Consider the following 16,939-nt stretch of genomic DNA (forward strand, 5'->3'; position numbering starts at 1 on the left):
TGATTCTACTTTTGCTTCAGATCTACATATGTACATTAAAAAAGACCAGGAAGCTATGCAAGTAATTTTTTAGAATTTGTCTTTATACTTGCCTATATTCCATTTTTGTGCAAGGAATATAGATTATATAATCAGAAAAGGGTTTAAATAAAGAGAGAGCGTTTGCTGACCAGTTGAGTGGACAGGAATTGGCTCAGTAATTTAAACTAACAATCCATAAGCAAGGGGCTCTGATAGCATGGCAAACCAGATCACCCACAACGCTCCACATGAAGAAAAGGCGTTTTTTTCAGCTGTCAGTTCTGCAGGCCGAAAAGTTTGAGGGCCTGGCCCTGGCTTCTGGTGAAGGTTTTTGTGCTATGTCACAACATGGCAGAGAAGGTCAAAAAAGGGGGGACACATGCGAAGAACGGAAGAACTGAGGGGCGTCCTGGCTTCATAACACCCCACTCTCAAGAGAACTAACTCATTCCAAGAACCAGTCCAGTCTTGGAAGAGCAGGAACTCACCCACCACCGAGAGAAAAACACCAACATCCCATTCATGAGGGATCCACCCCCAAACACAGAAACCTCCCACTAGGCCCTGCCTCCCAGTACAGCCACATTGGGAATCAAATTTCAACGTTAGTTTTGGTGTTGACAAACAGACCATATCTAAACTGTGGTGCTGTGTGTCTTAGTCCCTTCAGGCTGCTATAACAAAGTGCCTTAGACTGGGTAATTTATGAACAACAGAAATGTGTTGCTTACGGTTCTGGAGGCTGGGAAGTCCAAGCTCAAGGTGTCAGCAGCTTTGGTGTCTGATGAGGGCCTGCTCCCTGCTTCATAAATAACACCTTTTTGCAGCATCCTGACATGCTGGAAGGGGCAATAAAGCTCCCCTAAACCTCTTTTATAAGGGCATTAATCGTATTCACAAGGCCTCTGCCCTCATGACCTAGTCACTTTCCAAAGTCCCCACCTCTTAATATTATCCCTTTGGGGATTAAGTTTCCACATAGGAATTTCGGGGGGGGCACATACATTCAGATCATACCACTCACATTCACAAGGTCTCTGCCCTCATGACCTAGTCACCTTCCAAAGGCCCCACCTCTTAATACTATCCCTTTGGAGGTTAAGTTTCCACATAGGAATTTCGGTGGGGGGTGGGTCACGTAAATTCAGATCATACCACACTGTAATTTAAAACTTAGGAACTTTGAGAAATAAAATGTTTTGTCTCTTTGTAAGAGACTTATCGAGTGGTTTGAACAGTGCTTGCCTTCTCATTGTATCCTTTGCAGTCTAGAATGAGCATCTTTCCTATGCCTTTGGCAAGTGGTCAGTTGTCCTTTCTAAGTAATTGTCATCATCATGAAATGTCTCCAAGAGTTCCTTTAACACAAACTTTTTGGCCGCCATAACTTCCTTCAGGAACTACATACCTCGTCATTAAATTCACTTTCACTGAGATCCTCTGGCTGCATATCCCAAGTTTTCTTCAGTGGCAGCAGTGTCAACATTCCTGTGGCCAATTATTTATTTGTTCTAGAATTCATTTACATGTATGTCTAATTTTGCTTCCAGCATTATCACTTTGTGGGTTTTTGCTGCACTTCGATTTTGTTGGCCAGTTCCTCTCTTGTGACTATCCATTTTCGTAACACGTCCTGCAGGTTTAGCATTGGGAGATAAGGATGCAGCATAACTACATGTTTTGCTGTCGGGAAGTGAACTGCATAGCACAATGACCAGTCACCAGCTTTGAAAGGCTTGCTTAGTCACTGGGCATGATGCATCTCTGTTTACATAGTAGACTGAAGAGCTGCCAGTGAAGTTTGTTCTCTGCAGTTACTCACAGTTCGTATTCCCATAGTAGTTAATAACTGAAATTTGAACCATCCTGTCGGGGGACTGATAATGTTTAACTAAGCCATAGTAACTGAAATTCATGCAGCTCGGAACCGTGCAAAGCAAGGAACACACACACACACACACACTCTCTCTCTCTTTCTCTCACTCATTGTTAGGCTTCTTCTTGTGTATTTTATTTTATTCCATTGCTGTTATAAATAGTTTTTTCCTTCTTGCTAGCATTTTGCTAGCATTTTAATATTGTTTCCATATAAGAAAGTTGTTGATCTGGACGGAATGTTAGTTTTGTGGCTTTATTGAGTTATTATTTGTAACAGTTTTTAATTTTCTATTGGATTGTTAAGGTATATCATTATATTATCTGCAAATCATTTTCTCATACTTTCCTTTCTATTTATAGCTTTTCTTTCTTTTTTTTTTTTTTCTTGAGACAGAGTCTTGTGCTGTCACCCAGGCTGAAGTGCAGTGGTGCAGTGGTGTTATCTTAGCTCACTGCAACCTCTGCCTCCCGGGTTCAAGAGATTCTCGTGCCTCAGCCTCCTGAGTAGCTGGGATTACAGGCACCCGCCACCACACATGGCTAATTTTTGTATTTTTGGTAGAGACAGGGTTTTACCATGTTGGCCAGACTGGTCCCAAACTCATGACCTCAGGTGATCCACCCACCTCAGCCTCCCAAAGTGCTAGGATTACAGGCATGAGCCACCACACTCGGCCTATACCTCTTCTTTCTTTCTCTTGTCTGATTGTCCTAGCTGGTACCTCCACAACACTGCATAGCAGTGGGGATAGTAAATGTCCTTGTTCTGTTCTTGAACTTAATGGAAATGCTTCTGGTGTTTCCTAATTAAGCTTGATACTAGTTTTGGAGTTGAGAAAGTTATATTTTTATGATATTGAAGAATTATCCATCTACTTTATTTTGTAGAGAAGTTTTATTAGGAATGTATATTGGGTTAGGTGCTATTGGTTTAAGTGCCTCCTGAGTATGGCAGTAGGAAATACACAGCTATACCCATGGAGTATATTTGTAAAAAAAAAAAAAATTAAATATGACCTTGAATCTAATGAAACATGTAGCTCATTGGTTCCCAACTAAGGGCTTTTGCCCCCTCAGAGGACATTTGCCGATGTCTGGAGACATTACTGCGTTTGTCACAACTGAGGGAGAAAGCACTACTGGCATTTAGTGAGTAGAGGCTAGGGATGCTGCTGGACAACCTGCAGTGCCCCAGACAGCCGCCACAGTGAAGAATTATCTAGCCCCAAATGTCAGGAATGCAGAGGCCAAGAAACTCTTCTAGATCTCACTCCCAGTTCACAAGAAACATGAAGGACACAGGGACGTGATAAACGACATCACCAGAAAGTCCTCAGTGTAGTCCATGCTGTGAGAGATTCTGCAAGACAGATGGGCCTGATATCTTCAACAGATACATGCATGAGGGGTGACGGGAAAGAAAGAAGAGATATTATAGATTAAAAGAGACTTAAGAGACTTACCAACCAAATATGAAATGTAGATCTCATTTGGATCCTAATTTGAATAAGACATGTCTGCAAAAATCAGGCAACTTTAAGTTAGAATACATGAAACAAGATTAGCAAAATGCCGACAATCAGTTAATTGAAACTGGATGGTACGGATTCATCACTTTTATTTATAATTTTCCCTTTGTTTAACGATTTCCATAATCAGAAATTTAAAAATGAATATTGATTTTTTTAGATTTAGTCTCAGCAACACCAATGAAAATATGCCTTTTTGCTTCCAATCCTTTCAAATGGTGACTCATAATAATGAAGCTCCTAATACTGAACTGTCTGTATTCCTAGAATAAGCCTCCCCTAAAAGAATGAGCACATGCTGGTGCACAAATTAAAGTTTATAAACTGTGTTCTCAGAAGCTTTAAGTGCCTAAGATTTTTATACAAAGATGATTGTCAATTGTCAGAATTATATATTCTGCATAAAACAATAGAGAATTAAATGGAATTCCACCAATTCCATCCAATGTGAAATGCTAGGCAGCTTATTGTAGTCATTAAATACTTTATTGTAGAAAGTTTAAATTATAACAGTAGCCTTCCATAATTCCAATTTTATAAAAATATATGTATTTTTAAATACTGAAAAATAGACCTCAAAATAATAATAATGGTTATATCTAGTGATAACGCTATGAGTGATTTTTATTTTCTTTTTTTTCCTATATATTTCTAATTTTCTACAGCGAATTTTTGAAATCAGGAAAAAAGTTATTTACAAAATTAAAGCAGTTCACCTGTCACCCAAATCTTGGTTTCTGATACCTTTCTCCAATAAAAGAACTGGAGAAATTATCAGTCTAGTCTAGGACTGTGGTGGGGAATATGCAAAGTGATCCTGGAGCGTCTCAGGTCCAGCATGTAAGGAAGTGCTTAAGAAACAAAACTTGAGGTGTGGCAGCAGGACACGGGACCCAACCACAGAGGCCCAGGGGGCAAGGCTGGAGGAGTTTGAGCAACAAAATAAATAGTGCAATACAGAATTTGCACCAATGTAGGGACCAGCCCCACATGATCGGTGGGTTTTTCTCCCTGTGTGCAGAGACGAGAGATTGTAGAAATAAAGACACAAGACAAAGAGATAAAAGAAAAGACAGCTGGGCCTGCGGGACCACTACTACCAAGACGCGGAGACCGGTAGTGGCCCCAGATGCCAGGCTGCGCTGATATTTATTGGATACAAGACAAAGGGGCAGGGTAAGGAGTGTTGAGTCATCTCCAATGATAGGTAAGGTCACATGGGTCACGTGTCCACTGGACAGGGGGCCCTTCCCTGCCTGGCAGCAGAGGCAGAGAGAGAGAGGGAGAGAGAGAGAGACAGCTTACGCCATTATTTCTGCATATCAGAGACTTTTAGTACTTTCACTAATTTTGCTACTGTTAACTAAAAGGCAGAGCCAGGTGTACAGGATGGAACATGAAAGCAGACTAGGAGCGTGGCCACTGAAGCACAGCATCACAGGGAGATGGTTAGGCCTCCAGATAACTGCGGGCGGGCCTGACTCATGTCAGGCCCTCCACAAGAGGTGGAGGAGTAGAGTCTTCTCTAAACTCTCCTGGGGAAAGGGAGACTCTCTTTCCCAGTCTGCTAAGTAGCGAGTGTTTTTCCTTGACACTGACGCTACCGCTAGACCATGGTCCGCTTGGCAATGGGCATCTTCCCAGATGCTGGCATTACCGCTAGACCAAGGAGCCCTCTGGTGGCCCTGTCCAGGCATAACAGAAGGCTCGCACTCTTGTCTTCTGGTCACTTCTCACTGTGTCCCTTCCGCTCCTATCTCTATATGGCCTGGTTTTTCCTAGGTTATGATTATAGAGCAAAGATTATAATAGTATTGGAATAAAGAGTAATTGCTACAAACTAATGATTAATGATATTCATATATAATCATATCTATGATCTATATCTAGCATTAACTCTTGTTGTTTTATATATTTTATTATACTGGAACAGCTCGTGCCCTCGGTCTCTTGCCTCGGCACCTAGGTGGCTTGCTGCCCACATCCCAAAGTATAAAATAACCACGTGTCCATACTGATGTATATAAATGGTTGAATAGGTGGGTGAGAATAGACACACCCCATGCAAAAGAATTCCATGTAATTGACGTAGATACCCCTCCCTCAAGGAGGCAGTTGATTATCCCAGCTCTTACGTGTGGGCTGCACCCAGTGACCCCCTTCCCAGTGGTACACTTTGGAAACCGGGTTGAGAAAGAGGAACTTGACCCTGGAGAAACCTGACCTCAGCCAGGGGAGGAAGGTCAGGGGTGAGTTCTCCTGAGAGTGGGATGTGGGGAGGATGGCCCTTTTCCTTTGTAGCCTTTCTCCCAAGAACCCATCAGCTCAGTCTAACCATGAAAAAAAACAGCAGACAGCCCCAACCTGAGGGACATTTTACAAAATATCTGACCCATGTTCCTCAGATCTGTCAAGGGCATTAAAAACAAGGCAAGTTGGCCGGGCTTGGTGGCTCAGTGCGTGTAATCCCAGCACTTTGAGAGGGTGAGGCAGGCGATCACCTGAGGTCAGGAGTTAGAAACCAGCCTGGCTAACATGACGAAACCCCATCTCTACTAAAAATGCAAAAATTAGCCAGGCGTGGTGGCACACACCTGTAATCCCAGCTACTCGGGAGGCTGAGGCAGGAGAATCGCTTGAACCTGGGAGGCGGAGGTTGCAGTTTTCCGAGACCACAACGCTGCACTCCAGCCTGGGCGCCAGAGTGAAACTCCGTCTCAAAGAGACAAGGCAAGTAGGAGAAATAATTGCAGTCTAGAAGATCTTAAGGAGACGTGAGGACTAAAAGCCATGTTGTCCTGGATGGGGTCGTGGAACAGAAACAGGATGTTAAGTACACACCAGGGAAATCCGAATAAAGTGTGGACTTCAGTTAATAATGATGTAAGGAACATTGGCTCCTGATTTATGGCAGATGTACCCCAGGAAGGTAACATGTTAACAGTAAGGGAAATAACTTTTCTATATATCTGTATCTATACCTGTAACTATTCTAAAATTAGAAGCTTTTTTTTTTTAAAAAAAAAAGGGAAAACAGTAAACAATAGCTCATCACTCTTATTTTTAAAAGGTTGGAATAACATTAGAGATGTTCTATAGGATCAATTTGAGATTTCTGGAGTTTACTTTCTGACCCAGTTTTCTCAAAAATATGAAATTCTTGTTGCATAAGTCTGACTTGTCACTGGGGGATCATTCCAGATAAAGAATTTTCTGGTGAGGCCTCGGGACCACATCTGAATGAAAGTGAGGAGGCGAGTGTCTGAACAGCCAGCATTTCGTGTCTGTTTCCCCTCTGCATAACATAAAAATTAACGTATGATAGCACAACATATGTAAAGTCACCTTGGTAGAGGCACTAGGCGGAAGGGAGTGGGCATCTCTTGGCTGGCAATGAGCTGGGTGCCCAGCCATCATGGTGCAGGGCAGTTGCCCTTCTCAAGCAACTGATCCAGAGACATTTGAGCAGGGGACTGTGACCACACTACAGTACACACCACGACCGTGTGACAGTCACAGATACAGACACTGAGTTTAATGGCTTGGGGGTGGAGAAGTTGCCAGTTGCCCACCCTCTGATAAAGATGTTAGTGAAAATATTATAGATTTATTGAGGTTTGTCAAAAAATTGCTGCATCTCAGATATAAATGGGCAAAATAAAATGAATTAAGGTTAGGGTTTTTTTGTAGATAACCAAGAATAAAATGTAGTGATTTTGTTTTATTATGCCAGCTGTAATAAAGTCTTAAGGAGAATGCAGGCTGTAAAAGCTTAAAGAGAATAGGGGAACAATTTTTTTAAATATTTAATGAAATGTCAAACATTTTACCACATTTTGAAGAAATAAAACATTGTAGATATAGCTAAAGCCTCACTTTCTTACTTCTTCACCCCTTCCTCCTGAGAGGTAACCCATTGTCTTGACAGTGATGTGTATCATTGCAGGTATTCGTGAATAACTTTTCTATGTATATAACATATGTATGTGTATATACATACATATGGATGTATTAAGTAATACATTCTGTTGGTTTTGGTGTTTTAACAATTTATTTAAATTAAAAGCTTAACAGATCTGTTTATTTTTCTTTTCACTGATCATTATTGGCATTGGTTTCTGGTGCTAAGTGTAGATCTCATGGGGGTTTTTTGGTTGTTGTTTTTTTTTCCACTTTGTAACATTCCACTATATGAAAATAAACCAATTTGTTTTCATATGCTTGTGGAAGAACAGTCACTGTGGGTTGTATCCTTTTTTGGTGTTCATGGCTAGGATGATTCTTGTATGTGTTTCCTTGTGAACACCAGAATTGTGGGACTACAGGTGTGTGCCACTTCAGCCTTAATAGATATTGCCAAATTGCTCTTCAGAGTGCCATACATAAAATTTGTACATTTCCATTTTTCCACATCTGTGAAAAATCTTACCAGATTTATCAGATTCCACATTTTATCAGACTCACTTATCTTTGCCAGTCTGAGGGGTGTGATACATTTCCCTGATTGTTAGTGAGATTGAACATCTTTTCATATAGTTGAATTTATTAGAAGTCCTATCAAGAATTGCCTATTTAGGCCGGGTATGGTAGCTCATGCCTGTAATCCTAGCACTTAGGGAGTATGAGGTAGGAGGATCACTTGAGTCCAGGAGGCCAAGGCTGCAGTGAGCCATGATTCCACCACTGCACTCAAGCCTGGGCAACAGAGCAAGACCCTGTCTCAAAAAAAAAAGAACTAACTGCCTGTTTATTGCCTGTTAAGTGGGCTGGTATTTCTTAGAGACCTTTGGCCTTGGACCTGATTCCTCAGAGTGTATGATAAAAGAATACAGCTGCATGCTATCACAAAGTTAAATTGGAGGTGGGTGAGAAAAAGAGTTTAGTCTTTGACCGTATTTAATTGTTTTATTTACTCCTATGCCGTTTGATTTTCTTTGTGCCTCGTTATTGCTGACTGTGTCTCTTATTGGTGTAGGAAAGAGTTCAGGTAAGTAAGTTATCTGGTTTGTTAGGTTTGTAATTAAGTATTTAACAAAAATGTCTTTGGAAAAGTGCATTTGCAGTTTCCTAAAAAGATGACAGTTTTACAATACGACCCAGCAATTATGCTCCTGAGTGTTTGCCCAAATGATGACAACTTTTATCCTTATAAAAACTTGGGCTTTCCTTATAAAAACCTGCGCTTGCTGGGAAGCTGAGGCAAGAGGATTGCTTGAGCCCGGGAGTTTGAGACTGTAGTGAGCTATGGTCATGCCACTGTACTCCAGCCTGGGCAACAGAGTAAGGCCCAGACTCAAAAGCAAAACAAAACAACTTTGCACATGAATGTTCCTATCACCAATTATTCATAATTGCAAAAAACTGGAAGCAACCAAGATATTGTTCAGCAGGTGAGTGAACAAACAAACTATGATACATCCACACAATGTAATATTACTCAGCAATAAGAATGATCAAGCCCTGAAAGACATGTAAAAACCATACATGCATATCGCTATGATTCCAATTATGTGATCTTCTGGGAAAGGCAAAACTATGGAGTCAACAAAAAGATCAGTGGTTGCCCGGGATTCAGGGGCAGGAAGGAAGGATGAAAAGGTGGAGTACAGGGCATTTTTAGGGCAGTGAAACTATTCATATGACGCTGGAATGGTGGATTCATGGCATTATACCTTTGTCAAAACAGAATTGGCTGGGCATGGTGGCTCACACCTGTAATCTCAGCACTTTGGGAGGCAGGTGGATCACTTGAGGCCAGGAGTTCAAGACCAGCCTGGACAACATAGTGAAACCCCATCTCTACCAAAAATATGAAAATTAGGCAGGCGTGGAAGTGCATGCCTGTAATCCCAGCTACTCAGGAGGCTGAGGCATGAGAATCGCTTGAACCCAGGAGGCAGAGGTTGCAGTGAGCCAAGATCACGACAGAGCAAGACTGCACTCCAGCCTGGGAGACAGAGCAAGACTCTATCTCAAACAACAACAACAACAACAACAACAAAAAACCCCACAGAATTGTACAACACAAATAGTGGACCCTAATGTAAACTATGGACTTTTGTTAATAAAAATTTATCAATATAGATTCATCATTTATAACAAATACAGCACACTGATGTTAATAATGGGAGGAATTGGGTGCAGGGGAGGAGGGGTTATAGGAGGACTCAGTTCTATCTGACCAGTTTTTTCTGTAAACCTAAAGGCATCTAAAAAATAAAGTCTATTAATTTTTCTAAAAATCTTTCATTGTTAAATTCAGATTTTACCAAGTGTACTCAAGTATGTGGAACAATTATGTTTTCTAATAGAAACTTTTTAAGATTATTTGTTTTATTTATGAAATCTAAATTGCTGAAGCTTTTTCAAGACGACTGCTTCCATTTTTTGTGGATCTATAAAGAATGCACAGTTCATGTTGAAAATCATTTCGTTCCTTTTTGCTTTCTCAAGTAGTAGAGTGGTACAAAGTATTAATTGTGTAAGTTTTTCTTTGTATGATTAAATAATTTAGAGCAAATATTTTGCATATTACTACATCAAAAATCTTTCCAAATATTGTAATAACTAAAGTAATCTGGAATGTTTGTCTTGATTCTTACTAATTCTTTATAATATAAAAGACCTTCTTTCATTGATTCTAGGACTTCCATTCTAGGACCTCTCTGAAATCAGTGTACCTCTTAGAATCAGTAACATCTTAGATTCAGTGAAATACGATATGTCTAATAAGGGTTCGGAGGAAGGGCTATAATAATTGTTACAGAATCATGATAATTTTTCACTGATGTTATGGGACCGTTCTGATTTTCCCTTGCCTGCCTGTCTTCCAGATGCTCTCTGTGTGGGTATGTGTGTAGCCATCCTCCTTCTTTGAAGTCTCATATGTGGAAACATGCAAGTGACCAAAATTACAACTACGAACAAGTAAACAAGGCTATTAACGACGCGATTTCACAAAGTGGCAGGTATTTCATCCTACCCCCTCCCTTTATTGCTATATGTAAATTAAAGCCAGGATTAAATCTACTAGTCCTACATTGTAGCCTCCTCACGGTGTGCTGTGTTTGTTTTGTTTTTAAGAGTTCTGGGGAAATCCCCTGGAAAGACTCAATTAAAGAGCAGTGAAGAGAGTGCAGATCCCGTCACTGGAAGTTCAGAAAATGCAGTGTCATCTTCAGAACTGATGTCCCAGACTCCCAGTGAAGTTCTGGGTACCAACGAGAATGAGAAACTGAGCCCTACAAGTAATACCTCATATAGTTTAGAAAAAATCTCCAGTCTGGCCCCTCCTAGCATGGAGTACTGCGTTTTACTCTTCTGCTGTTGTATTTGTGGTTTTGAATCAACCAGCAAAGAAAACCTCTTGGATCATATGAAAGAGCACGAGGGTGAAATTGTAAACATCATCCTGAATAAGGACCACAATACAGCTCTAAACACAAATTAGGTGGAATAATGACTCGAGCAGGAAAGCAGTAGAAGAGGATTCCTTCACCACAGTTTCACCTTTACGCTGTCAGACAACTTCCTGCCACAGAAGAAGTCGTTGATGTGATTTTTGAGGAAATGACAGATGTGACTTTGGAACCAAACTTGTAATAAAAGGAATTCCAAATGGACAAGCAGTAATGATATTTAAATATTTTGAGTGAGGGGGAGTGGGTCAAAGAGGAAGTAGAGGTGTAATCCTGTATTAACCCTCTGTCACCCCTTCTTAGTGTCGAGTGTATTTATTAATAAAAGCTTATTAGAGTGTAGAAATGCCAGCAAGAGTTAAGAAAGGGCTTTTCAGGAACTATTCTAAAAGTCATAAAAGGGTCACAGTCTTAAGCAGAGCTTAGTTTTCTTCTCACTTGTCAAATGCAGACTGTGAGGCCTCCAGTGAGAAATGGGAGGCAGTTCTGGGAGGGGGTTTTTTCAGTGTCACCAACAGAGTCAACAAGGAAACATAATTAGAGGGCTTTGAAATGATCTACTGAAATACCTAAATTGATAGAAATTAATCATACTCAATCTAGGACATGTTCCTTTACTCCTTAAAAAAGAAAGGAAAGATCTCTAAATTCAAAGCTAGATTGTAAATAGGCATTCAAGAAGTATTGTCTTAAATTTACGATGAATTTCTTGTGAGCAGAGGACGAAACAGGTGAATTCTCACCAGACTCAAACCAGATCTCAATTCGTAGTAATGCTAAATCGTCTTCCGTGTTCTCAGAGGTTCTTTTCAGTGTCTGTCAGAACTTGGCATACTTTCTCCATAGTACGTAGACCTTCTAATACTCTGCTAAATGAAACCACACTTGTTATCTGAAAGTGTGTGAAAGAAACAATGTATGAAAATTTACATTTGATCATCCGGCATTGGAAATAGTTTGAACTATTTCCAAAAATCCCTTAGGGGATGAGGGGTGAAATTTAAAAGCTCCTGAAAATGAGTACTGCTGTGTTGAGCTTTTCTTTCCTGGGGTATATTAATTTAGTTATATTTAGCAGAAGAGGAATATAACCAAATGTGACTAAAATATAGCAGAAATTCAGGTTGTTTGTAAAAATTTTAATAACAAATAGCATTTGGCAAGTCTATAGGATTCTTCCTATCTGGAAATTCTATTTTGTTAGAGTGCGATAGGACATATGGAAAACCAACACAAAGTGCTTTAGCATTAAAACTCACCATCAAATAGATGTAATCTTATTAATTACACATTTTGTATTTTAATTATTTCAAGGAGTGAAGAAAACAGGGTGTTTTTGTTTTTGTAGTTCTGATTACTCATTTATGCATTGTTTTGTTTAAGTAAATTCTGCCTACAAGTGAAAAGGTCGGTGCGCTCTTCTGTGCACCATCCTCACGGTGCTATTTCCGAATATCTGAATATTGATTTCTAACACCTGGATGAGGCTGTGACCGATCAACTTGGAACACTGTAAAGGTTTTCGAATGGGATACGCTGTAGGCACGTTTTAAGAAGTATTCTGTTCCTAAAGTCCAGGTATGATTGGATTAATATTTATAAAATTATTATTAGGAATTATTTAAGTGGGGCCAGGCATCTTGCAACATTTTCTGATTTTTTTTTCTTTCTTTCTAATCTCATTTTGGTGATATTTAAACAAACATAAATGATTGTAACTTTGCAGCTTTTTTATTTAGGTAGCTTTAATTTATTTATGAAAGTTAATCCATTTCTGATACGTGGTTTTTAAAAATATGAAATGGATTTATATATACTATATTCCTCAAATCCACTGTATGTGGACTTATATTCATTTTCTCCTTTTTTCGGAATTGAAACATTTTAATTTCAAATTCAAATAGAACATTTAAAATGATTTCATTATTATTACCCATACTGTTGCCACTCATATTGTAAGTCAGTTTTTTCATTGCTGGTACAATGACTCAGTATTTCTTTATAAAAATCTGTTGTTCTGAAAATCAACAACCTTAGAAGGATTTTGTCTTAGAAAATTTCCTTGGCTTTAGTTTTATATCATATTTAGAAAATAATAATGAAAAGCATCCCCAAAATTTCAATGATGTGAATTTTTAAATTACCTTTATTTCTTTAAACTAATTCCATTGATTGTTACTTAAATTTTCCACCTGGAATCATGGATTTAAAATTTCCCCACCTCATGGGGAAAAAACTAACCCAGAAGTTCAAAGCCTTTAAAGTTTCATCTGATTCTGGCCTTAGAATTGTCCTTAAAAGCTTTCTCCTGGCCGATAGGAGGAAGCATATATCAAGGAGGTTCTTTCCCTTCCCATTATCATTTTGTGGCAAGCCTTAAGTTAACAATGTGTCTACCAAGAACAATTGAGTTTTCTAAAAGTAATAATGAAGATTATGCAATTCTAACTGTAGAAGAGATAGCTATTAAAATAATCAGTAGCCTGGGCATAGTGGCTCACACCTGTAATCCCAATACTTTAGAAGGCCAAGGCTGGAGGACTGCTTGAGTCCAGAAGTTTAAGACCAGCCTGGGCAACACGGGGAGACCCTGTCTCTACAAGAAATTAAAAATTAGCCAGGCATAGTTGGCACGTGCCTGTAGCACCAGCTACTTGGGAGGTTAAGGTGGGAGGATCACTTGAGCCTGGGAGATAGAGGCTTGCAGTGAGCCGTGATGGCACCATTGCACTCCAACCGGGGTGACAGATGAGGTCCTCTGTTTACCTCCCCCCCCAAAAAAAAAATTCAGTAGGAATTCCTTCATAGAATAACATGTTATTTATTGGTATTGACTTCTTATTAGACAGAGCTCATAGTATTTGTTTTCTGCTCCGAACACTTAAAAAATACTAAGACGTGATAGTGAAAATAGCTTTGAAAAGAAACTACATATGGCAAAGGTGGGGAGGGGGGAAGATGATGCATTCTGATCATTATAAAGAATACTTTTCAGGGCTCTATCATTTTCTCCCTTTCTCTAATCATCCAGAATATGGCGGGTGTCCCAGTGTTCAACAGTATCATGCTAATATTCCATTTGATCGGTAGTCCAAGTTCTTTGGCCAGATAGTGCAATGTTGTGACACCGACCGAAGCCTTTGTTCTGGATCTTTCTTCCTATTGAAGGTGGCTGCTGGTGGCTTCATAATTTTCTGTTTTTTTTCTCACAAAGTAAATGGTGGGCATCCATGTTTACATTGCACCTTCCCGTGCTGTAATTGGCTTGACAAAGACAAGCAGGCTTCTCTGTTGAGACTTATTGTGTTTTTAGTTTTCATAGACACTTATTTAATCTTTTTAAATTGTACAGCAAGGTGCTCTAAGTAATATTCGATAAAATATATTTAATAGAAATTTGCGTTTGATATTCATGAACATGAATACATGTATTTTTTTAAGAAATAAGTATTGTGTAACACTATGGCATTGCTTCTATAGCCAAAGTATAAAAATTTCTGGAATACTGACATGTAAAGACTACAGTTAATTCTGACACTGTATCTTATTAAAATAGGATGATTTGCATTTTGTAAAATTATCCTGCACATCAAGCTGCATGCCTTAAAGCGGAAACTCTAGGACTGTGTTCATGGGAGAGCAGTTCATCTGTTCAGAACAGTGAGGCAAGGTCTGTAGTGCTTCTTTAACTACCTTTGGAAATACTGTACAATGTTAGAATAATTTATTTTGCTTTACAGGAGTTTGTCATGTATTGACTTTAATATTGTATTTTGGTAATAAATTTTTTGTTAAAAAAAACTTGGCTCCAAGTTCTATTAACCACAGGTTGTGTTCATTCTTTTCCTGGAAATGATGACTTTATTGCTTAGAAAGTTGTAAATAATTAAAAGCTTCCCAAGAGTTAAATGAAGGTTATGATGACTCTTGATAACTTGTTAATCTGTTGCTGACTAGCATTAGACTGTTACACGAAGATAAACTGAATAAGCATTTAGCTTTTTAAATCATTTTAAAAATTAAGTCTAATTTTGAAGCTTTTTTCCTTGCTACCCAGTTCAGTTTCTCTTCCAAATGTGACACGCTTATATGCTTTCAATTCTGATATAGTCAAAGTGCTAAAGACTAGTTCTGCTATTGACGAAGGAATTAGCATTCCTTAGTGAAGGCCAAAAACTACAGTGATATGTTCACACCTTGATCACTCTGTCGTCTATACAGACAGCTATTGACATATTTGTTGCATTGACGAAGCTAACATCATCTGACTGTATCGTGGGTCTGGTTATCCATTTGTGCCCTAGAATCCTGGGTCACCTCAGTTGAAAGTGACCAAGGCCAAATATTTCGTCCCATGCTTCCCAGGGACAACATAATCATATCCCCTGTCTTTGAAAAACCCAATCTGAAACTGTGTCACTAACCTCCAAATTAAAGAATCCGAGCATGGAAGCTCTAGAACGTATGGTCCAGTGTGGCAGCCACTATAATATCTAAGTGTAAAATACATAGCAGTTGCAAAGACTTAGTACAAAAAGAATGGAAATGTATTAACAGTTTTTTATATTGATTACATGTTGAAATGATATTTTGGTTTAAATAAAATATTAAAATTAGTTTTACCTGTTTCTTTAGCTACTAAACAGTTTTAAATTACATATGTGGCTTACATTATATTTCTTTTGGACAGCGCTGGTACAGAAGAGAGATTAGCAAACTAGGGCCCTCTCTTCAAAGCCAACCTGCCACCTGTTTTGGCAAATAAAGTTTTATTGGCACACAGCCATGCTTTTGTGTGTGTACATATCATATATGGCTATTTTCAAGGTACAACAGCAGCACTGAGTAATTGTGACAGAGACTCTATGGCCCACAAAACCTAATTTACCACCTATCTGATAGAAAAAGTCTTCTGACTAGACCTCTGAACTAGAACAATGGTATAATTTGTGCTCTAGAGCTACCAGGAAGAAAACGGCTTTTTACAAAGAAAGCTTTTTATAGTAGTGCTTTATAACTAAATTAGTTTCTTCCTTTGTAATTTTTATAGTCTACCTGTCTACAGATTTTAACCATATTTTATGACTTTAACCTATTCCATCGCTGATATTTAAAGCCAGTTTGAAATAACAATGCATAATTAAATAATAAACTAATTCAAAATGCAGCTATAAAAAGTCTCGCTTGCCTCCTGACAGCTTTACGGTGTTGATGTTGGCCCCCACGGCTTCACCCTGTCAGTGGTGTGGGACTACAGCACATGGCCTGCAAATGTAACCATGGTGCAACGTAACCCCAGTGACTAATCCACTTGGCTGGGGTGACAGTTGAATTGAATAATCCAGGATATAAAGAAAAGAGTCTTAAATGCACCTCTTTATAATGAATAGCATGTGCAACTCCAAAGCCAGCTTCAAAGGTAGGGAGGAGGTGGTAGTTGGCTTTGGTCTAGAGCTGTTGATTAAACTGGCAGAGCTACGAAAAAGTCCATACTCTTATACATAGATTTCTTCCAAGTCAATCAGTGAATATGTAAAATGAGAACATTTTTGGCCCTGTAAATTCATAGAGAAGTTACTAATTGGTGCCATACGATAGACTGACTTAGGTAGTGTGTTTTGGTGTGTATCTCAGAATCCAAATCAGCGGAGCATGAAATGCTGAAACCATTTCCAGAGACCTATGTGTACAGCACAATCCAGTTTGCATGCTGTGCTAGGGGACTATAGACCTCATTTTTCTAGTGGTACATTAATAAATATACTGTATCTAGTTTTATTTGAACTGTTTATAAGATTATGACAGCTTTGGTTTCTTTAATCTCCTGATTTTTTTTCCAATAATGGGTAATCAGTTTAAAGCGTTTGCCTTACCAAAGTAGATTATGTAGGTAAGAAGGTTTTCTTTTGAATTAAAAAGTTTAATGTCAGGCATCTAATATAAATTCTTACTGGCATATAACAAAATCGTATCACGTGTTGGTGGCTTTTTGCTCCCTAACTAACTAAACCAGATTTACACCAGTTGTGTTACTTAATCCAGATAGAAAAGGTGTCATTCTGTAATAATTTGTAAAAATGCATATAAGACAGG

General features: G+C 38.9%; 1 protein-coding gene across 2 annotated transcripts in view; it reads left to right on the top strand.

The window, feature by feature from the left end:
- Positions 1 to 15,462, top strand: part of ZNF507 (zinc finger protein 507) — a 42,058-nt gene extending 26,596 nt beyond the window's left edge. For both annotated transcript variants that reach the window (NM_001136156.2, NM_014910.5), the window contains 2 exons: positions 10,262 to 10,396; positions 10,512 to 15,462. In NM_001136156.2, coding sequence (NP_001129628.1) covers positions 10,262 to 10,396; positions 10,512 to 10,878 — 502 coding nt within the window. In that variant the 3' untranslated portion in view covers positions 10,879 to 15,462. The remainder of the gene's footprint in view (positions 1 to 10,261; positions 10,397 to 10,511) is intronic.
- The last annotated feature ends 1,477 nt before the right edge of the window (positions 15,463 to 16,939 follow it).

Source organism: Homo sapiens, chromosome 19 (genome assembly GCF_000001405.40).
Source record: "Homo sapiens chromosome 19, GRCh38.p14 Primary Assembly".
Classification (NCBI taxonomy): Eukaryota; Metazoa; Chordata; class Mammalia; order Primates; family Hominidae; genus Homo; species Homo sapiens.